Genomic DNA, 27,946 nt, shown 5'->3' on the forward strand with positions numbered 1-27,946 from the left:
GGGCTCCTGGATCTCTTCCCAAGGAGGAGGCTAGGCCCAGAGAGACCCTGGCTTCCTCTGCACCCAACCCTGGGTGGCTCTGCACCAGTAGGGCAAGTGCCATGGGAGGAGTCCTGGTGAGCTGCCAAGGCATGCCTCGGGGTGGAGGAGGGCTTCCTTGAGGAGCTGATACCAATGCTGAGTCTTAAAGAACCGGTAGGAGTGGCTAAGTTGATAAGGAGAAGAGGACATTCCAAGAGGGGGACCTGCTCGAGCAAAGGAGCAGAAATGTGGGAGAGCCGGCAACCCCAGAGGACTACAGGGAGTTGGATCAGGCTGCTTCTTCCCAGGCTGTTGCAGAGGCACTTGAGGTTTCTGCTGTATTAGCCCCGAGCCCTCTTGGGTCCTCCCTCCAGTCTCTCCCCGACTCTTCCAAAGCCCTAGAGGCCGGATGATGTGGCATGTTGACCTTCATCACCTAGTTTGTTTTCCTGTCTCTGCTGTCCTGCTGAGTGTCCTACATCTTAGGGCACAGCCACAGCCCCTCATAAAAAATATGCAGTCACTGCCCCCAGGACACAGGAGGCCATCAAAGTAAGGAGGTCAAGTGTCCAGCTGTAAGCTTGGGACATGTCACATCCAGAGAACCTGAAACCTGGGTTCTTCGGGAGGCAGTGTGGCTCAGTGGCCAAGATCATGGGCTCTGGGGTCAGGGAGACTGAGTTCCAATCCCAGCACCACCTCTCATGAGCCAAGGGAATTGGGCAAGTCATTTAACCTCATGGAGCCACAGTTTTTCTCTGTAAAATGTCGACAGAGTAAAGATTAAATGAGATTGTGTTTCTAAAGCACAGAACATGGAGCCTGCTAGAGTGAGAGCTTAACCCATTTATGCCTGAGGTTGCAATTTTTTGAATTTTTGCAATCAGACCTTGGTAATGACCTTGAGCAGTAGGATATAGATAACTCCCACATGCTTAGCATTCCAATAATGGAACACTAGGCATAAGTGGGTCAATAGTAGGTTGGTGCAAATGTAATTGTGGTTTCGCCATTATTTTCGATGGCAAAAACCGGAATTACATTTGCATTAACCTAATAACTATCCCTCACTGTGATCAGTATTGATTGACTGACTGCACCTGGATGAAGAGAGACAAAGTGGCAATCTACTATTTTGTCTTTTCCAGATTCATTACATTATTTCATTTTACTAAATTTTTCTCTCTACATATTCTCTCTCTTTCTCCCTCTCTCTGTTATTTTGAAAACTTGGATCTCAAGCAGTGGCTTGAACAAGAGTCACCTAATAGGCCAGGTGTGAGCAGCCCAGGGCCCCGATGGCTGCTCCACAGTGTCGGCAACCCAGCCTCCTTCCCCCTTGCCACGCTGCCGACCCTAGAGCATTGCCCTTGCCCATGTGGCCTCACATGGCTCACCCCCACCATACCCACATCCAAACAGGGGGAACTGGCAGGGGGCAAGCGTGGAGCACATCCTTTCCTTCGGAAGATGCGTCCTGGAAATTGCCCAATCACTTCTGCTTGCATCCTGTTGGCTGGTCTCAGGGAATGGCTAGTCCTAGCTGTCAGGGTGCCTGGGAGCTGTGTGATCAATGACAAAAGGAGGGTTCTATTATTATAGGAGAAGGGGAAATAGATATTGAAAGACAACAGGGTCTCCTTTTCCCAGCCGAACTGCAAACTCTTCAAGGGTTGGAAAGACTTCTCAAGCTTGCACCTCACCCTGTTGGGCTCCCCGGCTGCAGATTTGTTCACTGAGAGAGACTGATTGCTGAGCCGGCTCCACAGAACTGCTGCACTGAGAAGTGCCATGGTCAGCCCTCCACGTTCTCAGAGTGCAGAACAAAAGCCAAGAGCCAAGGACAGCAGCATGGGGCTGGGGTGTTGCTGTGGGGAAGACAGCCCTGAGAGAGAGGACTGGGAGCTGGAGAAGCAGATAAGCAGCAATTGGAGCATAGCTGATGGACAACCTTTGGATACACAGAAAGGGATGGCTAGAGGGAGGAAATTTAGTTTTTGAGATTTTTAAAATTTTTACATCAAAATATGCTCTGAATGTTTTAGTTCTCTTCAATGATTGAGCCTTCCAAAATGAAAAGCTTTGTTTTATTTTTATATCCCATTTTGAAAAGGTAACATATTCACATAGTTCACTTTTTTTTTTTTTTTTCAAAATAAAAAGTAGAGAGGAAAGTCTCTCTCACACTCCTCCCCACAGGTAACTGCTGTAATGGTGTCCTGTGTATCCTTCCAGAGAGTCTTGATGCGAGTACAAGCACACATGAATCTATATTCCAGCCACCCCACTCTGTTCCCAGCACTGTCTGCTGCCTTGCTTTGTGAAGGTATCCTTAAGGCCAGCAGCTCCCATTCTCCCCAGCAGTTTCTCACTTTTAACAGTTTTCTCCCTGTCCTGTGATATTTCACAAAACGAACCCAAGCCATGACAATAAATATTTCATACCTTTCGTGCATGACATGTTTCACATATGCTTTACAAACGTGCGTTTTCATTCGGAATCGAATGTTGAGGGAAATATGTCTTTTCCACATGGCCACTACCATAATATAAAAAGCATTTTCCTCCTCCCTCTGCCCCAGGGGGGATCTATATCATGAAAATGGAAAAGTGATGAGAAAATGAGCAATCCTGCCTACAGAGCTCTCTCCAAGTAGTTTTCCAGAAGCTCCCTGGGACTGCATCACCTCATGAGCCATAAATCACCAACTGGGCCTGGGCAACTTGTCACCCAGTGGTTCACTTAGTGACTTTGGCTGTTTCTTTTTGTTGGCCATTTACCTGAAGGGTGTCTGCTGTGTACGTGTTGGGAACCTACCTCAGAACCTGTCATTGGTGTTTGGCCTTTAGCTGTCTGCCTGCAATTGGCTGGCCATGGCATGGGATGGGCACATACTTTCCTATGGGCCCATCTGCAGTAAGAAGTGGCTTGTAGAGCTGCAGAGGTTCTAACTGAGGCTCAGGGCCATCGTGGCTCAGCCATTTGCAGGTAAGTTCTACTGCTGATGGGATTGCCACAGACCATGGAATGCCTCCAACACCTTTAAATCAAGCCTGGGGGCTCTCAGCTCAACCTTGGCAAGCCTTAATGTGTCTTCAGTGTAAGCCATGATCTGGTCCTCCTGGAAACAGGGAACCCTGGCACGAATGCTAGGGCCAGTGCTTGATAAATGCCACCCTTAATCTGCCTTCCTTTCCCCCCCATCCCCTACCCACTCCTGCTCGCCAACCCCAACACACCCAAATGTTGTTGGCAAGTATGACTTGGAGAACCAGATTTTTCCCTAGTCTCTTCTCTCAGATAACTTTCTAAAACCTCCCAGGCCCTACTCTAAGAAGGTATGTCATTATGAGTGCTAGGGGGCACTGTTGGGCAACTTTTGTGCACAGGAAATTGCCTGCTTGTGTGTTTTCAGAGGACGCGACGCTCGGTGGGGACAGCTGTCCCCACCCTCAGGCAGCTCTCAGGGACTCGGCATAGTTGCTCCCCCTGCAGGGCTAGAGCTACCTCCATGTCACCTCTTCAAGGCTGAAGGCTCTTGGAGGAATTAACTCTGCCCACCTCAGCTCAGGTGGAGAGCTGCCCTGCGAGATGTGAGTAGGGCTGCCTTTCCCTCCTCCCTTTCTCAGTCTTTAATTGACAACTGCTTGGCCTGGATGATTTTTTAGATAGGAGCTGAGGTGCCCCCCACCCCCGCCTTCCAACAACAGCACCCAGGAAAATCAAGGACACAACTTTTTATTCAATTCTGGTATTTGTTCTCATTGTTGGAATGATGAATGTCACAACTCTATTATTTGTTGGAAGTGTTTGTTGCAGACGTGCAGCTGCATCGGAATTCAACTGAATTCTGATGTTTTCACTTGGGAGAATCGAATTCCCCCATGGATCCTGCAGGGAAAGTGGTCCTAATGTTCAGGACAGGCACCCCAATCAAGCTAGGAGCCACCTGGATTTGGTGCCTTCTGCCTCAGTGGGTCCCTGTCCGCAAAGAAGAAACTAGCAGCTACTATGGGCCACACAGTGTGGTATTGTATACATTTTGTCCAAGTTGTCAACATTTTAAAATTGGAAGCCTGGAAATAAAACCCTCAATTTTTGCAGCTTCAGCTGAAAAGTCAGGAGATGAGGCTGGCCTGGGCTCGGGTTCCTGCAGGGCACTCGTCTGCTGGTGCAGACGCTTGGCGCTCCATCCCAGTTTGCCTCAGTTCCCCCAGTCCTGTTTCGTATATATTTATTTTATGTTCTAGGCTCCTGTAAGCCTTTGAGTTTGCAATCCTTTTGTGAGGTGTGGTAAACCCTAGTTAGCCAAAATGTAATTTTTTCCTTAGGACATGAGCCCCCGCAGAACCAAATAACAGAAATCACCATGAAGGAGCCAAAGTCTACACGTGAGTTGGGGCATGGGGCAGATAGCCTGGGTGGCTGGTGTTAGTTCCAGACAGACTGGAGTGCTCAGGGTCTCTCTATTGGGGCAAATCTCTCTGCTCCATCTTCATGTGGCCTTCTTCTCCGAGTGTGAAATCTCCCACCACCTTCCTGTGATGAGGATACTGTCGTTGTATTTAGGGTCAATCCAGATAATCTAGGGAAATCTCCCCATCTCAAGATCCTTAATTTGATCCCATCTTTTGCCACATGAGGTGACAGTCACAGGTTCCAGGGTTTAGGAAGTGGGTGTGTCTTTGGGGCCACTACTAAGCCTATCACGTTTGGCAAGCCTTCCTTCAGGAAGCTTGCATTCTAGAGACAGTCTGGAAAGGAAGGAGGAAACGAATAGGAATGGTGAGCATGTAGCTGCGGTGGGGGATGACTGTGCATTCAGAAACCCCCCCTGGGGAGATTCTGGTTCATCAGAGGCTGAAGGGAGTAAGGCAGCAGGCCGAGAGGTCCTGAGTGCAAATGCCCTGAAGCAGCAGCCTTGGTTAGACAGGGAACTGCCTGCAAGCGAAGGGAAGAGCAGTAACAGAGAGATGGCTGGAAACCAGGTGGGGTTAGATAGTCCTTGCAGGGCCTTTTAGATTCTGGTAGAGGGTTTGGATTCTATTCCAAGACAATAAAGGAGCTGTTGAAGGATGTCGGCTGTCGTGGGATGTGAGCCACTGAGGATGGTGCCTGAGATGGGGCAAGGCTAACAGATGCCCCTTACTCAGAGATCACCCCTTAGAGAGGTAGGGGTGGAATGGGAGGCTGCCTCTCTGGTGCACTATTGCCTGGCTACAGGCTTTGCTGGCCCCAGGTGCCCCTTTCGCTGGGCGCCTCCCGTGCTCCAGCCATGCTGCGAAAACTCAACACCCACATTTGTAACAGGGTGTTCTAGCCAAGATGGGACTCCAGCATTTTTGAAATCTCAGATCCTGTGCTTTTACCTTTAAGCTAAAGGTGAAGCTTTAAGAAGCCAGATTGCCTGGGTTTGAATCTGGAGACAGACACTTAACTATGTGAATGTGGGGGACCCCCATAACCTTCGTATACTTATTTTCCTCCTCTAAAAAATGCAGACAAAATGGTGACTGCCTCACAGTGTTGTTGGGAACTGGTGAAGGGATAAACAGGCACACAGCTTACACAGGATCGTGGACTAGGAATCAGAAAATCAATGTCAACCGTTGTCATTTTATTTTTATTTTACTTTATTTTTTTGAGACACAGTCTCACTCTGTTGCCCAGGCTGGAGTGCAGTGGCGTGATCACAGCTCACTGTAGCCTTGACCTCTGGGGCTCAAGCCATCCTTCCACCTCAGCCTTCTCAGTAGCTGAGACCGCAGGCACACATCATCACACCTGACTAGTTTTTGTTTCTATTTTTTTTTGTAGAGACCAACCTATGTTGCAAGGTTGATCTCGAACTTCTGGCCTCAAGTGATCCTCTTCCTGCCTCAGCCTCCCAAAGTTCTGGGATCACACACATGAGCCTGGCCCATTAGACTTTTAGTTTCTGTAGGAGGCATCTTTGAGAGCAGCCTATTCTTTGTGTTTTGAAAAAGGGAAAAAAATTAACAGGGCATTTGATTTTACATAGAAAAAGCCAAGCTGCAGCTCTGGGATGCAGAGGTTCCAGGCAGCAAAAGAAAAATACTGAGAGTTTTGTTTTGTAGAATCACAGCAAAGGTTGTCTTCACTCAGGGCAGAAATGTGAGGAATTGCAGAAATAGAAAGGAAGCGAGTTTCCTTACAGAGTCTCAGAAAGCTGGAGGAGTGTGTTGTTGGAGGAGAGGGCCATATGGTTGGGGCAGTCCCTCTTCGAGGGGATGCTGACCCCTTTGTGGGCTGTGGTTTCAGGACTTTGAGCCTAGCCGCACCCAGGAGCTAGTTTGCAGGTTTCCATCATGCTCTGTTGTTCTCTCCTAGTATTATCCCAGTCAGGTCTGGTCCTACTTTGCTTTAAGATGTAGCAGCAGTCTTGACCACGTGTGAGCCGAAGCATTGTGGGGAGCAGTGGGGCCTGGGAAAACTTGTTATGAGATGTCGAGAGATCACCCGAGATAAGGAGAGTGGGGAGCTTGAGTCAGGAGGTGAGATGAGGGAATACCAGCCACAAGCTGGTATCGCCAGGGTGGGCAAGCTCAACCTGTTGATTCCCAGGGCACAGAGGGAGGGGAGCTGGATGAAAGTTGGCCATACGATGACCAAGGAGGATGAAGGCTGGGTCTCTTCTGCTATCGGACACTAAAGGGCAGCCAGACCCTCGGGAACAGTGGGTGTCTGGCATCTGGGTTACATCTGGCTTACATCCTCATAACTATCCTACCATGGGGTACTATCATGGGGCTTGTTTTACAGATGGGGAAGCTAAGGCGCAGAGAGTAACTTGCTCTCAGTCACACAGCTGGTAAGTGGCAGAGTTGGTATGTCCACTGGGTCTGACTAACCCCAGCCCCTGCCGGTCCCCCAGGGAGCAGGCCCTTGCCCCGGTTCTGCAGGAACTGCAGTCATTGGCTCCTGCTCAAAGCCTCCCAATAAAGAGAATTTGGGGGAAATCCCTTCCGCAGGAGAAGCTGGTGAAAGACAAGCCCCCTTCCTGGATATTCTCAGCACAATTCAGGACTTGCTAATTACTCCTGGGCCCTACCTTTCTCTTCTCAAGTAGGCGGCAAAGTTTACTGGTGATTGCGAAGTGATTGCAGAGCGGTTGGAGAGTGAATGGATCCGGAGCAGCGTAGCAAACAGCGCAGTCTGGGGGGCTCCATCCCGCCGCAGGGCCAAGGCCTTTCCTGCCAGTCCGACGAACTGCCGGTAGATGGCACTCTGAACCCGTTCCCCGGCCCCCTCCACGCCCTGGATCCGCCGTCTGCGCCGGTGCGGGACTCCCCGGGAAGCGCCTGCGATTTCAGAGTAAGAGCTGTTTCTGCACTGCTCCAGTCCTGCATTTAACAGACGCTTATGCAGCACCTGCTGAGTACCAGGGTCTGTCCTGTGTGCTGGGTGTTCAGCCTTCCTGGGAGAGGATATACAAGGCCATCGCAGGGCCACTGCAACTCAGTGTGACCGCAATTAGGACCGGAGAGCACTTGATTTCTAAACTGCGCCTTCTGGAAGATTTCTAAACTTGCGCCTCCTGGGAAGAAGGCTAGAGTTAGCGTTGCCGCAGGGCTGTGCCTCAGACGACCAGGCACGACCAAGCACACAGGTGGTGCTCAAGAAATGAATGGGAGTAGATGAGGGCATTCTGGAGACTGCATGGAGAGCCAGGGCCTGCCGTAGCAGCAGCACCAGCAGTGGCGATGGCAGCAGCGGGGTCGTTTCCAGGGGACTTGTTCTTTCCGGTTGCACCTCTAGGCTCTGCGGAGTTTAACGACGAAGCTCAGCCTGGGCACCTTCTCTGGAAGATGGGTGCCCTAGCTCTGAGGGCGTCCACCGCAGCCAGGCGTCAGGGCTGGCCCGGGCCTCTGCAGGGAGCTCCAGCTGCAGGGAGCCCCCAGAGGAAGCAGGGGCGGCAGGGAATGAGTGGAGGGGGGTGGGGTTGCCAGAAAGAGGGAGGTGCTGTCTGCATTCAGTACCGATCAGGTGGCTGGCACCTTACTGAGCCTGAACGCTGAGCGCTGTCTCCTACGCTGTCCTCACAGCAACCCTTTCCAGAGATGTTCTCGTCCTCGTTAGGCATATGGGATAATGGAGGTTCAGAGAAGGCAAATCTCAGGCATGAGATGAGTGACCCATCAGGAGAAGCTGAGCTGTGAGCACATGGAGTAGGGTGCGTGGAGAAGACCAGGGTCAGGCCCCTCCTTTGCTGGTGATAGAGAGGGGGCCTGTTGTGGGCCGCTTGTGAACATATCAGTGCAAAGAAGCCTTCCACAGCAGCAAGCGAACACCCGCCCGGAGTCAGGCCAGCTCCTGAGCACAGGCGCCACCAGGCTCCACCCGACTCAAGCCCCCAGATCGGCTCTCATTTCCCAACAGAGTGCCTGGCTACCCAGGCTCATGGCCTCCGGGGACCACAGGACAGAAAGTGCAGAGGGTAGGGTGGGGAGGAGGGTCAGTAGGAGGCCTCCTCTTAGGACCTGCAGTGCTTCTGGGCCTCACATAGGGTCATCCACCTTGGAAGACTCCTGCAATGTCGTTGGCCTGGTTTCTGGTTGAAGTAATGTGTACGGCCTGATTCTGAGCCCAGGTCAACCAATGATGACTGCAACCCACCCCATCTCTAAACTCCGCTCCCAAGAAACTTCTCAAGAAAAAAACACCGGCTGCTTGAATACTCTCCTAGGCGCACTTCATCCCCTTTTTCTTTTTTTTCTTCCTTCAAATAGTTCATTATTTTGCATGGAGATTTTGCTTTTCTTTGACTATTTTTTTTCATATATAACCTGATAAAAGGGCTCCCGTTATTTCAGAATATATTCTGGGCCCTATTCTGTGCTCAATTACACACCATCTATAGTTGATTTTCATGAAATTTAAATAACAAAGGGGGACGCTTATGTCATTTCTTCCTTATAAAAATACACCCTTGAAATCCACTCTCACTGGAAAGCTGCAGCCTGTCTGCAGTTTAACAGCTTGTGTGTCCAGGGGTACACACTGCCTCATTAGATGTGCATGCAGAGGGAGGAGTGTCTGAGTAATAAGAGCTAAATTTCACTCACTGTCCCCAAGTGGAAACAGACTGCCTGGAATGCCAAACTATATCCTTCAGGGCTCAGCAGCATCTGCTGGTCTCTGCAACACTGACAGGCCATGGTGGGCTGATGGGGCATTAGAGATGCATCCTGTGGGCCATGGATCCAAGGAGGGTGTGTGTCTGGAGGGACCTGGAGTGGATGGAGGCTGCCAGTGGACCAGGGAGGAGCACCCAGTGGCAAGATATTAAAAACTCAAACTGCGCCTACCCCTCATGAGCCCCTGATGGCGGTCAGCACCACGAGGACTGCATGCTTCATAGCCCAGGCAAAGGGAGAGTGGGAATCCTCCAAGGCTTGACCAAAGTCCTGGGAACCAAGGTGGGGGCTAAGAAACAAGAAGGACCTCTGTGATGGGGCTACTGGTGGAACTATGGGGTGATGCTATTTGACATCTAACTCTAAGTTCCCCTCTTCTGGGTTGTGTTCTCCATATGGGGTTCTGCAGAGGGCATGTGTCCTGATGGGGGGCTGCCCAGGGCTGCTGAGAGCACAAGTATCTGGACTTGGGGGTGTGTATGTGTGGGCAGGGAGGGAGATTCTGCCCCAAACCTAGCCTTCAGATTCCCTACATCCCAGAGCCCACTGCCTCCCACCCTCCGGGATGGACTTTCCACAGAGGAACTGAACTGGTTTGCTCCAGTTCCTAATATCAGGGCTCTGCCAGTGGGTCCACTTTCCCGCAGGCTCCATTCACATAGTAGGAAAACTTGATTAAGTGTATGAGTTTCACAGGAACTTCCTGCCTCTGAGTCTCCCCTCAAAGAAGCCAAAGCACAGCAGAACATCCACAGTCATAGGAGCCACTTGGGTTGCACCTTAGGGCCTGGACATGACCCAGGGCCACTTGGTATTTCATTCACAGGGGCTCCCCCCACCTCCTTGGGCCCAGCCTATGATCCTAACCATGTTGAGCTGGGGTCTGGTTCTCCTAAGGGTCTCAAAAGCATCTTGGAGGAGGTGGAACTTGGGTGGGCCTTGAAGGGTTTGGCACCTAAGAGGACATAGTGGAGATGTCTGAGTCGAGGAACATGTGGGCAGAGGCCAGGAAGTGAGGAAGTAGGACTCCAGTTTGGAAGAAGAGAAGAGGGTCTGTGGCAGCTACATTTGGAATGGATGGTTAGGAAGGTCTCCCAGAATTGTAAATCAGGATGAACATATGTGATATTGTAGGATTAGGAAAAAATTCTACAACAACCCTTAGCCACTAACTGTTGTTATAATTCTTGTTCAGATGTGGGTGCAGGTAGTATGGGCAATGTGTGGGCAGTGTGTGAGTCCTGTACTACCTGGACCCACAGCTGAACAAGAATTATAACAACAGTTAGTGATTAAGGGTACAGCCTCCTTTAAATCAACTAGGAGGGGGAAAACATCAAAATGAAATACAAACAGAAGCAAATAAACCTAATTTGTACTTCCAAGGAACAGAATAACTATACTAAAGGGAGAAAAGGAAAGCCAAGTAACTGTTGGACCCAATACTTTTGACTACATACCCCCAGTGTAAAGGCAAAGAAAGCTGCACACCAATATTGAACTCTACATAGAAAGAGTGCCTTCACAGTGTTATGGGTATAGCCATATACTGTGTATTGTAAGATTGAGCAAATGAATGAATGTATTAAAGTCACAAATAGTGAACTGAGGAAGGTTTGCAATAATTCTATGGCGTTGAATTGGAGCTGGAAGATTGGAGATATGCACACACACACAGAGATAGATATATATATATATACACACACGTATATGTACATATATAATACATATATTTCCTAGTTCTGTATAATGAAATGGTCTAGAAACAATAAAACCACAGTAGCAATGAGCACACTTACTCAGATTTCAGTTTCTAAATACCATTGACGAATAAAAAGAACCAGGGTTCCTTGTAGGCTGTCTGATTTCAGGGCTGAGACAGGAAAAGTACAAGATGAGCCTGCAGCGTCTTGTTACGTCAGAGAATAAGGGAGTATGCAAAAAAGGATGGAGGCATGAAAGGACAAGAAAACCAGCTTGAAGAGGCTCCCACAAGCTGCATCTGGAACAATTTAAACATCAAATAAATGATAGTATTGTAACCCGGTCGAATAAAAGAAGAATCTATGAGTCTAAACTGGCATAAATAAATTAACAATTAATCCATGAATAGAAGGAAAAGCATTTCTGTATAGTAAAATGCCAACTAACAAATGCAGAAGGAATGATGGAATTCAAAAATCACCATTTTGCAAACATTAAGTTATTAAATAATAATATTTGCAAAACCAATTCTTGATTCAGGCAAAATCATCAATAAATGCTCAAACTAATGGGTGAAAGTTTGATGAGGATCAGGATATTTATGGTCTCAAAATACCTTTTCACTTATTAGTTACAAAGGAAAAATAGTAGCTTCACAGTGGAGAGTCCCGGCAGACTCTACCTTAACTAAATGATCAAAATTAACATCCCCAACGTGGAACAATTCAGCATCAAGCACCTTCTGATAGGATACACATCACTTCTTTGGTATTCCTGCCAAAACATATAACCTGAATGTCATTATGGGGAAAGAACAGAAAAGTCATTTTGAGGGACATTATACAAAATAATTGGCCTGTACTTCCCCCAAAATGTCAAGGTCATGAAAAACAAAGAAAGGCTGAAGAACTAATCCAAGTGAAAGGAGAGAAAAGAGATGACAGAAAATAATTTCATTGCCAAAACAACAGAGTGGGAGATAGGAGATAGGTGTGCAGAACCCAGCAATGCAGGATTCTGAATGAGATTCTGGCCTGGGAGAAGCAGCTGTGAAGGACATGACCAGGATAGTGGGATAATCTTGACTATGGACCAGGTGTGAGATGATAGCATTGTGTCACTGTTGAATTGCCTGATTTTGATCATAGTGCTAAAGTTATGTTAAAGAATGTCCTGGTCAGGCGCGGTGGCTCACGCCTGTGATCCCAGCACTTTGGGAGGCCAAGGTGGGCAGATCACAAGGTCAAGTGATCGAGACAATCCTGGCCAACATGGCGAAACCCTGTCTCTACTAAAAATACAAAAATTAGCCAGGCATGGTGGCTGGCGCCTGTAGTCCCAGCTACTCGGGAAGCTGAGGCAGGAGAATCGCTTGAACCCAGGAGGCGGAGGTTGCAGTGAGCAGAGATCACGCCACCGCACTCCAGCCTGGCGACAGAGCGAGACTCCATCTCAAAAACAAACAAACAAACAAACAAACAAACAAAAAAGTCCTTTTCTCGGGAAATACACACTGGAGTATTAGGGCTGAGTGTCATGCTGTCTGCAACTTGCTGTCACATAGTTCAGTTTTTTAAAAGTGGGCATCTGTCTGTCTATCGGGAGACAGATAGAATGAGAAAGCACATGCTGGGAAATGCAAACAACTGGTGAATCTTGGTATTTGGGAGTTCTTTTTACTACTCTTGAAACTTTTTTGAAAGTTCAAAATTATTAAAATAACAAGTTACCAAAAAAGAAAATCCACAACCTGTACACACTCTTGTGTGGGCTTTTAAATTGCTGTGAAGATAATAATATCTGCCTCTGAAGGAGGTTGGGAGGAAATACTGGGCATTTTGTTAGAACTTAATAAAGGAGATGGATTCTTATTACTAATGTCTACTTTCACTTATAATTATTTACAAGGAAGGAGGGCTCATTCCTTTGTCCTTCTTTTGGATCAGGGGATTTGTGCCATGCTCCTGGTCATGTATTGGGCCCCTGCCCCGCCCCCTGTGCACATGTCCCAGTTCCTCACTACTGGTCCTAAGGTCAGCAGAGCTGAGTCTTTGATGTCCTGGAGTCTCTGGGGCACATCCCAGGAACCGAGAATAAGGCTGAAATTCTCCCTGACTCATCCTTTGCAGATGCTTTGGGGAATATCTGAGGAGGTCCACCTTCCAATGAGACCTTAGCAACTGACAAATAATTTACCCGAGAATGGTGGCGAGATGTTTAAAGGTGAAGACTGTCCTAAATGTCTAAGTGGGCAGAGGGTGAGGCTGGTGTTAGAAGCCCAGATAGCCCCACATTCTGCTCTACCTGGCGAGAGCTGTAGAAACTGGCCAGTCATTGGCTTCACAGTTTCCTTGCCTGCTCTGGCCTTCTTGCCTATCAGAGCCTCCAAAACGCCAGGTCCCAATTCAACAAGGTCAGTCGTTTCAATCTTGCAGGCCGTCATCTCTTGACCCACCGTTTTCAGTCCACCTTTGCCTCTGGGCTAGGCAACCCCACTCTAGCTGCCAGTTCTCTCAGTCCTCTTCAGTCCAGGGGTTCTAAAGTGTGTTACAAGGACCCCTGGGGAGAGGGTCCCTAGGATCCTCTAAGGAGGTTTATATGGTCCTTGTTTTTCCAGCTACATATCTATGTGAGATCGGATCTTCACATACTTCAACAACATAGCAGAACAGCTTGAATGCAGAAGCAGATAATATGAATCTCTCTGCTGTGTTCTATTAAGCCATTTCAAGAGATTTGCAAGAACATAAAGCAATGTCACTCTTCTCACTAATTTTTTGTTTTGCAAACTATGTTCTTCATAAAAATTTTATGTTAACATACAATGGTGTTATTTTAAAATAAATATTTTTCTTTTGATTTCTAAAAAAGCAAATATCAATAGATGCAATTCACATAAACAAATGCCCTCCAGGATCCTCAGTAATTTTTAAGAGATCAAATTGTTTGAAAACTGCCACTCTAGCCCCTGACAGTGTTTTAATAAGAATAGGCTAAGGGGCCAGGTGTGGTGGCACATGCCTGTAATCCCAGTGCTTTGGGAGGCCGAGGCAAGAGGATCACTTGAACTCAGGAGTTTGAGACCAGCCTGGGCAACATAGTGAGACCTCTTCTCTACTAAAAAATTTTTTTAAAAAATTAGCTGGGTGTGGTGGCATGTGCCTTTAGTCCCACCTACTAGTGGGGCTGAGGTAGGAGGATTGTTTGAGCCTGGGAGGTCGAAGCTGCAGTGAGTCCTGATTGTGCCGCTGCACTCCATCCTAGAGTGATAGGCTGGAGACCCTGACTCAAAAAAAAAAAAAAAAAAAAAAAGAGAGAATGGGCTAGGCTGTGTGGCAGTCATAACCCCAAACCCCAGTGGCTGAATGCACAAAGAGTATTATCTTGCTTATGCTATATGTCCACCATGGATTGATGGAGGGTTGTCTTCCACTTTTTCCCTCAGGGAACTAGGCTGAATGACAATATGCTCTCTGGAACATTGTGGGTCACTGTGACAGAGGAGGACAGCTAGAGAGTCTTGTACTAGCAATTAGTGCTGCAGCCTAGAAGTGGCAGGGATCACTTGGACTCACAGCTCATTGGCCACTCCTAGCCTAATGGCTCTGCCTAACTGCAGGTGGGGGAGAATACAAGCCTCTCTGTGGTCAGTGTCCTGAAAGAGAGAACTGGTAGAGGCTGAGCACCAGTGGTCTCTACTGCTCCTGACTTTGGAGTTTTTCATAGCACCTATCACTTTCTGACAGCCATATCAGTCATATTAGCTACCGACTAGCTGCCTCTCTGGTATGTAAGCTCTTTGAGGGCAGGTTCCTTGTCTCTTGTTCCTTTCTCTGTCCTCAGTGCCTAGAACTGAGTCTGGACCATGGGAGGGACTCAGTAAGTGTGAGCAAAGATGAATGGGGTAAGGGTGCTGACTCCTGGTCTCTCTGGGTGGTTGAAGGCTCAAATAGGGCTGCATCTCAAAGTGCTTCCTGGCCCTATAGTGCAGGATGTGCAGTAAGTAAGCACATAGGGCTCCTTTCATCCAGATACATGAGGCACAGTTCTACATGCTGGTGCTGGCCAAAGTGTACCTGGAGAGTCTGCACCTGCAGGTGGAGCCTTGGCCCAGATAGGCGGGGAAAGGACTCCCATGATGAGGACCAGGGGTGCAGCCCATTCACTGGGAGGGCAGGTCTTTATTTGGCAGGTCAGAGCTCCCTTTTCTCCTAGCCAGTTGCAGCTGTGGGCAAAGACTGGGCTGCAGCTTCTGTGAAGGATACTGGAGAATCAGCCCTGGAGGCTCCTGCAGAAATGGCCACACGTGCATGGCCGCAGGTGTGCTCCGTTAGCTCTGCAGCCCTGCCCTTTCCCTCCGGAATGCTGGTCTTATCAGCCAGTCCCACTGGATCCTGACGTCTGATGTGGGTTGGGTTGGGGGCGGCATTTCTAATAGAGAACGTAGCCTGGTTGGGAGCAGGGTGAAGGCCCACATAATTCCGTAGGTGTAGTTGGCCCTTGAAAGAGGGTACAGTGGTAGGCCCAGGGAAGAGACAACAGCATTGGTTGGTCAACCTGCTCCAAGAAGCCTTGAGGCGGAATGCCTTTCAGGATTTTTATGCCCTTTGTTGGAGGAACTGACTCAGACTTGAGGAAGATTCCTGAGCAGGAGCAATTCACTTACCTCCCTCAGGCTCCGGTGATTTCCGCACTCTTGGGGTACAAGTAACTTTTTTTTCCAAACCATGGGGCCTGTGGCCAGACACAATATTTTTGTTTTATTTCCAGGACAGGAGAGGTAGTTTGGATGATAAAATGCTGTGATTTCTGGACTGTGCAGAGCAGAGAGTTCATGGAAATAACACAACAGAATACAGCACTTGAAATCAGGGTCAGCCCAGAAAATTGGGGGCAGGGGCAGTTGCTAATATTTTCAAACCATCTCTATGCCAGTGCAGAGTCTGAACGCAGACAATTCATTTCAATTCTGGCTCCCTTGATTAACCAAATGGCGTCAGGTGCTGACTAATTAGAAAAATCCCTGAATCTTAGAGCACTTTTTTAATGAAGCTTGAAAAATTAAGTGCAAGTGTCCACTATTTTGTCTAAACACATATGAGAATAATTGTGAAAACAATGATAACAACAAAAACCAAAAAGAGCTGGATCATTTTTAAAGCAACTTTAGCCAACCTGGGGAAAGAAAAAGACCAGAGCAGCCAGGTTTTGATGGAGACCTGAGCCAAGTGGAATGTGAACCCCAAACCAGCTTCAGCAACCAGTCCAGTGTTACAGAGAACCCAGGGCTTGTATCATGCATAATTCTAAATTCAAGCAAACCAAAACAACTAGGACCTGAATTCAAAATGAATCCAAGCATCCATTTTCTAAGGTTATTAGAAATCATCATCAATATGGTCTTTAAATGACATCTGCTGGGGACTGAATTGATATCTCCTTCGTGTGGAGCTTCCAGACTTGAGGTACAAAGAAAAAAACAAAATAAAAACAATAAAATTAAATACACAATTACCATATGATATAGTAGTTCTATTTCTGAGAATAGTCTCAAAAGAATTGAAAGCAGGGACTGGAATAGGTATCTGTATACCCGTGTTCACAGCAGTTGTTTTCACAATAGCCAAAAGGTGGGAGCAACCCACGTGTCCATCTACAGGTGAATGGATAGACAAAATGTGGTATATCCATACAATCGAATTTTATGCAGCCTTAAAAAGGAATGAAACTCTGACACACATCACAACATGGATGAACCTGGAAAATATGCTGGTCAGTCACGGAAGGACACATACTTTATGATTCCACTTAATACGAGGTCACTAGAGTAGTCAAATCCATGGAGACTGAAAACAGAATGGTGGGTGCCAGGGGCTGGGGAGAGCCAGCAATAAGGAGTTGGTGTTTAATGGTTGCAGAATTTCAGTTTGGGAAGATGAGAAAGTTCTGGAGATCGATGGTGGTGATGGTTACACAACAATGTGAATGTACTTAAATGTCTCTAAAGTGTACACCCAAAAATGGTTAAAATAGCTGGGCGTGGTGGCTCACGTCTGTGATCCCAGCACTTTGGGAGGCTGAGGCAGGTGGATCACCTGAAGTCAGGAGTTCAAGACCAGCCTGACCAACATGGTGAAACCGCTTCTCTACTAAAAATACAAAATTAGTCAGGCGTTGTGGTGCATGCCTGTAATCCCAGTTACTTGGGAAGCTGAGGCAGGAGAATCGCTTGAACCTGGGAGGCAGAGGTTGCAGTGAGCCGCGGTTGTGCCATTGTACTCCAGCCTGGGCAACAAGAGCGAAAACTCCATTTCAAAAAAAATAAATTGTTAAAATAATAAATTTTACATTATGTATATTTTACCACAATAAAACAAAACAAACAACAGGAGTGTGCCCCATGGTTCTTAGTCTGTAAAGATTCTTTGTGAGGGAGACACTGAGCTGCTGTGGATGTCCTGGGGGGGACCCTGTGACACCAGCCCAGGCACTTCAGGGGCCGTCTGATGGCTCTGAAGGGCACGGGCAGAGAAACCCAAGAAGGGGTCGCCAGAACGTGGGCTTTCTTTCACCTTCTTTGGGGGAGCGGCCATCTCCCCGTCAGATGGCCAAGGACCAGCCCGGAGGGGAACAAAGCCAGGAGGGTAATTTAAAGGTACCCTTGTCTTACCCCCTCCAGGGGTAGCCCCTACTATTGTACTGAGCTCCCCACCCCGTTTTCTACCAGGATCCATCAATCATAAATATGCACGAATAACTGAGGCCCAAATCCTTTCCCATTTCTTCAGTGGGGCTCCCCAGCACTCGGGACAAGAAGGAAATTTGGAGGCAGGAACTCAGAGGAATCGGGCAGAACTCACGTTTCCAACTGTGCAAGACAACTCCCTGGAACTCACAGCAGCCATCATAATTATCGCTTGCAGAAGGGGTCTTATCACATAACAGCTTTCTCACTCCTCAGGGGGCAGGGGGTGGGGCCCAGTCTCAACCGCAGGGACTTGTGTCTTCATTCATTATTTCCCAAACAAGTCAGTAGAAAATTGAGGTTTCTGAGCAATTTGCAGATTAATAACCACTGGAGATGTGGGTCCATATAACCTCACCGAGCGAAAAAGTGAGACCCTCCCCTCTCTCCTTCTCTTGAATAAGGACCTACAGTAGATATCTTGAGAAGCAAAAAAAGAGAAAAGCAGAAACGTAAGTAACCTTTCCTTTCCAGCATAGCAACTCTACTTGCAGCCCCACCGCCCAGCAACTCCTGGATTAATCTTTCTTTCTTTCTTTTCTTTTTTCCTTTTTCTACTCAATGGATTGTGGTCAAGGCCATTGTAACGTGAGCAGTGCCTCGGAGGGGATTGGCCGAGGGGGCTGTGAGGGGCCCCTTTCACAGAGGGCTAATTGCGTTTCAGACCACCAGTATTCGGGAGCTACAGATGTCTTCCTTCATTTGCCTAGGCAGTACAATTGGACCCATCTGTTGCATTTATTCCGCTGGCTCCCCTGCCCGCCCCCTGCCCACCCCCCCACCGCCTTGCCCCCGTACCCTCCCTTCCCTTGTCTGCTAAGCCTAAATTGAAAACTCATCAAAATGTAATCCAAGAGCAGTTTGGCTGCCGAGCTGCTGAGAAGGGGCTCGGTGGGAATAAAGGCCCCCCGCCACTTTTACACACGGGCCAGAGCCCGGGGAGCCGGGTCACAGGCAGCCTTAGGGGGGAAAGTGAGAAGTTAGCCGGCAGATGGGCTGCTCCACGCGGCCCTATAACCTGATGCCTCCGAAGAGGGGCCCTAGCAACGAGCTGGCCTAGTCTGGAGGACGCCGCTGCCCTGGAGGTGGCGACCCCACCTCGAAGGCCTCGCCCCTGGCCCGAGATTTCAAACAGGGCTGGGGCCAGGGCTCATCACTCTCTGACCCCCATCTGCCCTCTCTAGCTCAAAGGGATTTCCAAGGCAGAGAGGGCAGGGACGGCTTGGCCTTGCAAGGGTTGGGGAATATGGCACTCGGGAAGGCCGTCTGCCTGGCCTGGGGTGCCCCCCTCCTGCACTGCCCAGGCCTGCCCTCTGTCCACTCCTCCCTGGCTGCTGCCTCACTGCAGGCTCACACCCTTTCCTGCACCTCCTCCCCTTTCTCCCATGCAGGCCATGAACTCTAGAAGGTAGGGTAGTGCTGCTGGCACCTTTGCGTTGCCCCACACTCTGAGTCTGGTTGTGGGGCTGGCTTTGGGGCTCTGCTCTTGCCATCAATACAAGCCCTGGCTGCAGTCTCTTTTGGGGGCCCCTTTCTGACACCTGCCCCAGTGTGGGCCTGGAATGGGCCTGTCAACGCCCAGAAGAGCAGATGGCTGCACCTTCCTACTTGTCTGCAGATGACTTCTGGGAAAGGGCAGGCTTCCAGCGATCATGATGTTTTAGGATCAATAGGCTTGAAGGAACAGCTATGGTTAAGATTTCATTGAATTGGGTGCCTGTGAGGGCTTTAACACCTCCTTGTTGCTGAAATGTTGTGAATGTGGGTTTTTTTGTTTTTTGGGTTTTTTTTACTTCTTTTTACTGAAATCTACAGTTAAAAAAATTCATAGCAGCTCAATATAAACACACACACACACACACAAAATGAAAGCAAAAGATGCATTAACTAATACTTCCTCTCACTCTATGCGATGTCTTCTGATATTTTCTATTCTGATATTCCATTTCATTTCATTCAATTGTTTAAAATGCTGATCATCTTGATCTGCGAAATTGCTTTCACAATCTACAGAAACAGCCGTTCTCAACACCCACAGGCATCAGAACCCAACCTTGAAATGCATAAAAGAGCAGGCTCCTGGGCTATCTCAGAAAGTTGGGATAAGTGGTGGCGGGGTGAGGCACAGAAAAAGGCATTTGTGACAGTCCTCTCCACCCCTTTAGGGGATTCTGTTGCACTTTGAGAAACGCTGCTGCTTCCAATGTGCTCGGTGGTCTCAAGCCCATAGTCTGAGCTGGAAACAACAATAGGTTGACCATGGTGGTCAGCTCAAGGTGGGGCGTTCCCAGGTCGCCTCCTCCCCTCTACCTCCCCACCATCCTTAATTAAATCCTCACCCAGTGAGAGTGTGGATGTCAGGCCTGGCTTGGCTGGCTTTTAATTGAAGTGTTAATTTGCTGCTGCAGAGAGTAAGGGCTCTGCAGTTCTGGAGGCTTCATTTGCTGCCATCCTAAGCTGATTAGCTTTGTGGGGGTGGCTGGTGGTGGTGGGGGGAGTGGTACAAGCCACCAGCAGGGGAGCTAGCTGGGCCAGAATCAGGCCTTGGAGCTGCCTTTGCGGACAGAGGGCGGGCCAGGGCCAAAACCTTCTGCACCTGCCTCATTCTGCCCACCAGCCGCCAGGCAAACACCTGCTCAATGGGCCTCCAAGGCATTGACCTGGTTTTTGCACCCCCTCCCTTCCATCTTGATGATAAAGAGCCACCTTTATCCTGTGACTCTTCTGCTCACACACCGTTGTCTAAAGAGGAACAATCAGCTCCTCAACTTGATGCTCAAGGACCCCCAGGAGTGGCTCCAAGAGCACCTTCTGGGGCTCCCCTCTTCCACCCTCCCTTCATCCTAGCCAGGCCAGGCTGTTTCCTATCCCCATTTGCACTGTGTCTCCCCTGCCAGTCCCAGCCCTTTGTTCTGATGTGCCTCCACCTGGAATGCCCTTGCTGAATTGTGCCAGTCATGAACCTGGCTTTGACTTCAAGAACAGCAGAATCCTAGTGCTCCTATGATGGCTTCTCTCTCTCTCTCTGTGTGTGTGTCTGTCTGTCTCTTAGCTTTGCTCCCTCTGTTCTGGTTTTGTGCTCATATGAAGGCAAGATAGTATCATCCATTCCAGACTTACATCCTATGAGCTAAACAACCCCAGCAAAAAGAGAGTGTGGATTTCTCATTAGTTCTAGCAAACATCCTGAAATAGAGTCTAATTGCTCAGCTTGAGTCTCTTATACATTCAACCTAGCATACATGTAAGGACACACTTGTCGGATATTTTCTTAGAAGTGAAATGGTGGGCTTCAGGGAATGGTCATTTCTTGCGTATCCAATATTCTCTGTCAACACTTCTGCATCATGGAAGCCAGTGAGGTCTGTATGGCCCCATGAGGTGCACAGTTGTCTGGGTGTCTAGGATAAGCTCTGGAAGAACCTCATGCATGGGTTCTCAAGGATCCTAGATTTGACACTGTGCCTTTGTTAAAGTTTGCTTAAATCTTGTGTCTCTTAGTGCATTAATAGGCAATTGAAATAGCAGCTCCCTTGCCAGGTGGCATTTTTGGTTGGCATTTAGGATGAGACTGGCCCACCCTGACCACCGGAGTTCAGAGCCAGCAGATTGCTTAGCTAGTGTGTGATTTAAGAGGTGTGCATGGGTGTTTCTCTTGAGATGTTTCATGGTAACGATAATAATGGCTAACATTTATCAAACACATACCATGTGCCAGGCACTGTGCATTAGTCCTCACAACAACCCTATGAGGTGGATACCATTATTATCCCCAATTTACACATGAGAAAATGGAGGCACAGGGAGATAAAGCAGCTTGCCCAGGGTCACCTAGCTAGGAAGCAAAGATGGGTCAGCTCCCGGGTCTAGGTGTGTAATCACTTTGCAATGTAAAAACAGCAGCGGCAACAATGATAGCAACTGTGTTGCCTCTCAATAGTTCCAACCTTTGGTTTGATGTGAGAATTACTGCAGTCTTACTTGGTGTTCTCCTCTTGGCTTTGTAGTGGGGTAGCTTCTTGGCAGCTTGTGGCAGGAACAATGCAGATATCTACCCAGTGCAGGCTTTCACATTTCTCACGGTGCCCAAGTGGCTTCAAGGAGAAGCACTGACTCCTGCCCTGGCAGTCAGCACCTGGACCCAACACCATCTGACTTTACATCAACTTTATATTACATCACTCTCCCACTTTCCAACCATAGCACTTTCTTACTGGTCCCCAAACATGATACCCGTCGGTATCCTTAAAAAATAGAGCACAAAAACTTAAGTACTAACATTTTATTGGAAGTTCAACCCCAGGAAGGCAGAAGTAATGGAAAAGAGGGGTGAGAGGGCCGGGTGCGGTGGCTCACGCCTGTAATCCCAGCACTTTGGGAGGCCAAGGCAGGCGGATCACGAGGTCAGGAGATCGAGACCACCCTGGCTAACATGGTGAAACCCCGTCTCTACTAAAAATACAAAAAATTAGCCAGGCGAGGTGGCGGGCGCCTGTAGTCCCAGCTACTCAGGAGGCTGAGGCAGGAGAATGGCGTGAACCCGGGAGGCGGAGCTTGCAGTGAGCCGAGATGGTGCCACTGCACTCCAGCCTGGGCGACAGAGCGAGACTCCGTCTCAAAAAAAAAAAAAAAAAAAAAAGAAGAGGAATGGGCGGAGGGGAAGGGCTATTCCAGACAGAGGGTGGCATGTGAGCAGAGCACAGGAGTGCAGTCCAGCAGCATGCCGCTCTGTGTGTGCATGTGTGTGCATACGTGTGTGTGTAGACACAGCCATGTCCAGGGGATGCTGTCAAGAGATCATGCTGGAAGGATGGGCAAGTCATAAACCATGTGGCTCATGAACCTCAAAAAGGAACTTGGGCTTTATCTCCAAGTGCAGTGGGGAGCCACTGGCACGTTAGGAAGTCAAATCTGCAAAAGGAGATGAGTGGAGAGAGGAAGTGAGAGGAGAGGAGGAGGCCTCCCAGGCTGCTGGGCTGGCGACGGGAGTGGAGGAGGAACAGGCTGGAGGGTGGAGAGGAGAAACAGGCTGGAGTGTGGGGAGGATCAGGTCATTTTGTCAAGTTCGAGGAAGTTGACTAAGGGTGGAGAGGGCATTTGGGGTGGAGGAATGTCTGAGGGAGTGAAGGTGGAAGAATTGGACAGAGAGAAGGCTGGAAACTGAGTCTGGGGTGTGTGTGTGTTTGTGGGGGTGTGTGAGAGTGCATGAGTGTGTAGGCATGAGGGTGTGTGTGCTTGTGGGGTGTGAGTGTGCAGACACGCGTGTGTGTGCTTGTGTGGTGAATGTGGACATGAGTGTGTGTGCTTGTGGGGTGTAAGTGTGTGGACATGAGTGTGTGTTTGTGGGGTATGAGTGTGCAGGCATGAGTGTGTGTGAATGCTTGTGTGGACATGAGTGTGTGTGCTTGTGGGTGTGAGTGTGTGAGTGCTTGTGGGGTGTGTGTGGACATGAGTGTGTGTTTGCGTTTGTAGGGTATGAGTGTGTGGACATGAGTGTGGGTGCTTGTGGGGTGTGAGTGTGTGGACATGAGTGTGTGTTTGTGGGTGTGAGTGTGTGAGTGCTTGCGGGGTGTGTGTGGACATGAGTGTGTGTGTGCTTGTGGGGTGTGAGAGTGTGTGAATGTGTGTGAAGCTTGAGGAGGTGGATGATGACCACATCTGGAGTGTGGCTATAAGAACAGTTCGAGCGGTAAGAGTTCACTGGAGTCACTTGGGGCCTGCAATTGTGATCAGCTCTTCAGGGTGAGAACTGGTTGTCTGATCAGATACTGAGATCTTCAGAGGCAAGGCCGGGTGGAGGGGAAGACTGCCTAGGTCAATGTGGCTGTTACTATCATCACTGTCATCATCTCTGCTCAGCTGTGGGAGGGGAGGGGGGTGCTGGGATGTGGCATCTGGTGGCTTAGAGAGCTATTGCTTCACGTGTTTGTTCCTGGATGTGGAAACGCATCCCGGATAGATCAAGGACAGGAGCTGGGCCCGAGCCAGGCCTCAGGCAAGAACTGTGGGTCAAGGTGCCAGTGCCTGCGGTCCGGTGGGGTATATAACAGTAGCTAGGAAACCAGGCAGGCCTCTGCCCAATGGAAATCTCCCTGCATGGAGGGCCAGGCACTGGGGCCTGGTCTCCTAGTGCCCCAGGGATAATAAGGACTTCAGAAAGGACAGCCCCGACTCAGGGCTCAAAGAGGCTTTAGTTCCTTGTTTGGCGGCTTAAAAAAGGCAAACAGAAGCTTTTCTCCTTTGGGGATCAATGTGAATCCCAGAAAATCCCATTATTTCCCTTTGAGATCAGTGGCCTGCTCTTGAGGGCTTTCTCTTCCCCAAGGCAACAAGCCCTCTCCTCACCCTGTGTGAGCATCCTGTCCCTGCGTGGCCCCTTAGGTGAGGGGGTGGGAACGGGGCACAGGTGAGCCCCAGCTTGCTTACAGCTGTTTCCTCACCCCCTAGTCCACCCTGATCTCTCCGCAGCCCTAGGAGCAGGGAGTTGTATGTAGAGGTGAGATGGGGTGGGGGACAAAGCCACTAGAAAAATGTTTTTCCATTTCTCCTTTTCTAGGAAGTCATTTTTGACCTCAGAAAATGCCTGAGAGGTCCTGCTTCTCTAGGCTGCTGCCTCATTTGGGGTCTGCATCTGGGTTGCCACTTCCCACCAGGATTCTCAGCAGGTGGGATGCATATCATCATGGGAGGATGTGCATGATGGTGGAAGATGACATTTATTGAGCCTTTACTCTGGTACCTGGCACTGGGCTAAGCTTCCTTAATGTGTTTAAGAACTCTATGAGGAGGGCATTATTATTATCCCCATTTTACAGAGGAGGAGACTGAGGCATGGACAGGCCAAGTCACTGACCAGGGATGTCCGTGGTAGGTGGCAGAGCCCTGCCTGGTTCAGAGGACATTGAGGAATTGGCCATGAACTGTCAGGCTTTCTAGGAAGTTGCCCCTTATTGGGCCCCTGTTTAGACAAAACAAAACAAAACAAAACAAAACAAAACAAAACAAAACACTCCAGTTTATTTTTTCCAAAAAAGAAAATCAATGGAGCATGCCTGACCACCTTCGACCACCATATTGACCACCAACAGCCAGCCTCCTCCTTTCCGAAATCTTCATCCCAAACTCATCTATCCTGTGTGTGCTGAGCACTAAGCCAGGGCCCAGGGGAAGAGCAACCAAGCAGAGATCACTCCTTGCTATGTGCTGGGCCTGTGACAAATGCTTTCCAAAACCCCTGGCCTTCATAATCCTTACCATTTGGTGATCAGAGCTGACCCTGCTGGTCTGTGATGCAGTAATGAGGGGGGTGAGCCCCAAATGAGGAAATAGGGTCTCAAAGCAAGGGCCAATATCTTGCCTAGTAATGTGGAGTCTAGACAGGAACTAGGATTGTCTGACTTGGGAACTCACACTTTGATTCACTTAGGTCCCCACACAGCTTGATGATCTTCTGTGCAATTTTTTTTTTGTTTTGAGATGGAGTCTCGCTCTGTCGGCCAGGCTGGAGGGCAGTGGCACGATCTCGGCTCATTACAACCTCCGCCTCCCGGGTTTACGCCATTCTCCTGCCTCGGCCTCCTGAGTAGCTGGGACTACAGGTGCCAACCACCACGCCTGGCTAATTTTGTTTTTTCGTATTTTTAGTAGAGATGGGGTTTCACCGTGTTAGCCAGGATGGTCTCGATCTCCTGACCTCGTGATCCACCTGCCTTGGCCTCCCAAAGTGCTGGGATTATAGGCGTGAGCCACTGCGCCCGACCTTCTTGGAGTGACTTCTAAATGGGTGAGATGTTGGCAACAAGTCCTTCTCTGTCACTTCTAATTCAGATGAATGTGGGCAGGGTGTACTGGGAAGCTCAGAAGCCCATGCACTCTGTTTCCTGGGCCCTATTTGACTCTGAGACACACACACACACAGAGGCACAAGGACACGCAGCCCTTACATGGGAGTCTTTTGGAGATGTGCTTTAATGCGTAGAGAAGAGTCTTTCATTAGCATTGAAATAGGTGCTCCAGAGAGCACTTGAAAGCTGTTTGCTCTTTCAAGTAGGCTAAAAGTCCCCAGCTCTCTGGAGCCTGCACCGTGGCTGGCCTTACGCCTCTCCTGGAGGAGCCTGCTCCAGACTGGGATGTGGGGTTTTCAAGCCAGCTGCTCCTCTCACCATTCCCAGGAGCATTTTGCACATCCCAGCTGTGGGTTTTGATCCGGGGAATGTGAACAGAGGGGCCCTTGTGGAGCCCAGGCCTGGCCCAGCTCGTCCCTCCTGCAATTGTCCTACCCAGGGTGACCACCTCTCTCCCTCTGGGCTTCCCTTCACTCAGGCAGGACTGATCTGGCTTAAAGAGGCTGTGTCCCTGCTGGGCCTCTTGGCCTCTATGTCCCCCCCAGGTGGCCTCTGGGCAGACTGATGCCGGATTTGCACTCACTTAGCCTGGAGAAGAAGTTGGGGACCGATGGCCAGAGATCAAAGGTTAAGAGGGGTTAAGCCTTCACCCCAGAAGGTCACCCATCAGCCCTGAGACAAGTATCTCACAGGTATTTTCCTGAAACCTAGAGCAGAGTTAGGCCTTCAGGGAATGTTCATCTACTTACAGTCATACGACTGAATGACAGGGATATGTTCAAGAAATGAATTGTTCAGTAAGTTTGTGGTTGTGCAGAATCATAGAGTGTACTTACACAAGCCTAGATGGTATATATGCTTTTATTTATATATTTTTATATGGAAAACCAAATGTCCAAGCACCATTACTGATAATCAGTCATCTCTCCTACTTGATCTGCAATGTCAGTATCAAGTGCCATATGTCAGATTTCTATATGTGCTCCCTTATAATCTTATGGGACCACTGTCATATAAGTGTGGTCTATTGTTGACTGAAAAACGTTGTTGTGCAGTGCAAGACTGTACTAAGGAAACACCATCCTCCCGGTATAGAAGGTCCATACCCCAGATTTTATGCAAGTCACTGCCTCCTAGGGTCTGTTTCCCCATCTTCCGAATAAGGAGTTTGGACTTGACTGATTGACAATCAGTGGCAGATACTTCATTATCTTGGTCAATTAGAGCCCTTAATACATTTCTGCTCTCAGGCAATGAGAGGAAATTAGTCTAGACAAGACAGATAAAAGGGAAAAGGATGGTTGGACTTGATCAGAATTCCTAAGGGAGGTTGTAACATTGTTTTCCTGAGGATCTTGGTGATCAGAGCAGACCCTGCTGGTCTGTGATGGAGCAATGAGGAGGGTGAACCCCAAGCTGAGACTTAACCCCTTCCCATCTGCCCACCTTCCTTTCCCCTTCCCAAGAGGCTATGGTGAGCAAATGGCTTTGATTCAGAGGGGCCTGATTCATCAAGCCTGATCCAAGCTCGAGGGTTCTGATTTGTCCTGAGCACACAGTAGAGTTCCATCCAGTGGGAATGGGTGGGATATTATCCTACCTGCCTGCCTCTCAGCCAGGGGCAGTGCTATAGTGCACCAGTCAGGATGGTGGCAACCCAGAGGTGTGCGCTTCATGCAGAATGGACACACCAAGTGTTGTGGACAGCTGCAAAAAGCACCACCAAGGCTACACCTTTGATGGGCATTGTGTGAGCAAGACCCGGTGGAGAAGGAAATTGAAGGGAAAGAAATTTCACAGGCTGAACTTTTCCCCCTGCAGGGGCTCTCTGTTCCCATTCAGAGGAGTGCTCAAACTGTCTCTCCACGGCACTTGGGTCAAGGCCACAGGCTCTTCCAGGACTGTGGAGGAGTCCCATCTTGGTGGGTCAAAGGAAGGCAGCTGGTCTGGAGAAGGCACACCCGATGTTGACAAGGGGGCACTGAGGACCTGCTGGGGCTTCCTAGCATGGCTCTGGAGTCAGGAGGAATGTGGGTTAATCCCAGGCTCCATTTCTGGCTGTGAAGCTTGGACAGGCAACTTAACTTCTCTGTGGTTCCCCCCATCAGATCTACACACCGGGGTAATAATGGAGCGTCCGTGAGCAGGCACGTGAAAACACACAGAGAGCGCCAGCAGCGTAAGTGCTCAACAACTGATAAGCACACTACAAATAACAAGAAGAGGGTGCCAGGCATTGAAAGAATACGATGTTCAAAGTGATTACTCCACTGTGAGTACTACCTGTTACTTTTTGTGGCCTTTGATCCAATCAACAGTCCCATGGAGGGGAACTGCTGCTGTCCCCATTCTACAGAGGAGCCCACTGAGGCTTGGAAGTGGGCTTGGGTTTGAGCCAAACCTTGGATTCAGAGCCCTATGCTTACCCTGACCTTAGGCCTTGGGCACGGTGCTCCATAAGGGCAGAAGGCTG

At 49.1% G+C, this 27,946-nt stretch overlaps 3 annotated features.

Moving 5' to 3' along the window:
* Window positions 7,152-7,291: a silencer, noted in NCBI's record as "silent region_16377". NCBI's record gives its function as "represses an Ori minimal core promoter by ATAC-STARR-seq in GM12878 lymphoblastoid cells {active_cell/tissue: GM12878}" and the evidence as "EXISTENCE:reporter gene assay evidence [ECO:0000049][PMID:35858748]".
* Window positions 7,492-7,541: an enhancer, noted in NCBI's record as "active region_23175". NCBI's record gives its function as "activates an Ori minimal core promoter by ATAC-STARR-seq in GM12878 lymphoblastoid cells {active_cell/tissue: GM12878}" and the evidence as "EXISTENCE:reporter gene assay evidence [ECO:0000049][PMID:35858748]".
* Window positions 25,531-26,379: an enhancer, noted in NCBI's record as "NANOG-H3K4me1 hESC enhancer chr5:134820245-134821093 (GRCh37/hg19 assembly coordinates)". NCBI's record gives its function as "activates a minimal SCP1, AML or CMV promoter by ChIP-STARR-seq in naive H9 embryonic stem cells {active_cell/tissue: H9 hESC(naive)}" and the evidence as "EXISTENCE:reporter gene assay evidence [ECO:0000049][PMID:30033119]".

The sequence above is a fragment of the Homo sapiens genome, chromosome 5 (genome assembly GCF_000001405.40).
Source record: "Homo sapiens chromosome 5, GRCh38.p14 Primary Assembly".
In the NCBI taxonomy this organism is placed as follows: Eukaryota; Metazoa; Chordata; class Mammalia; order Primates; family Hominidae; genus Homo; species Homo sapiens.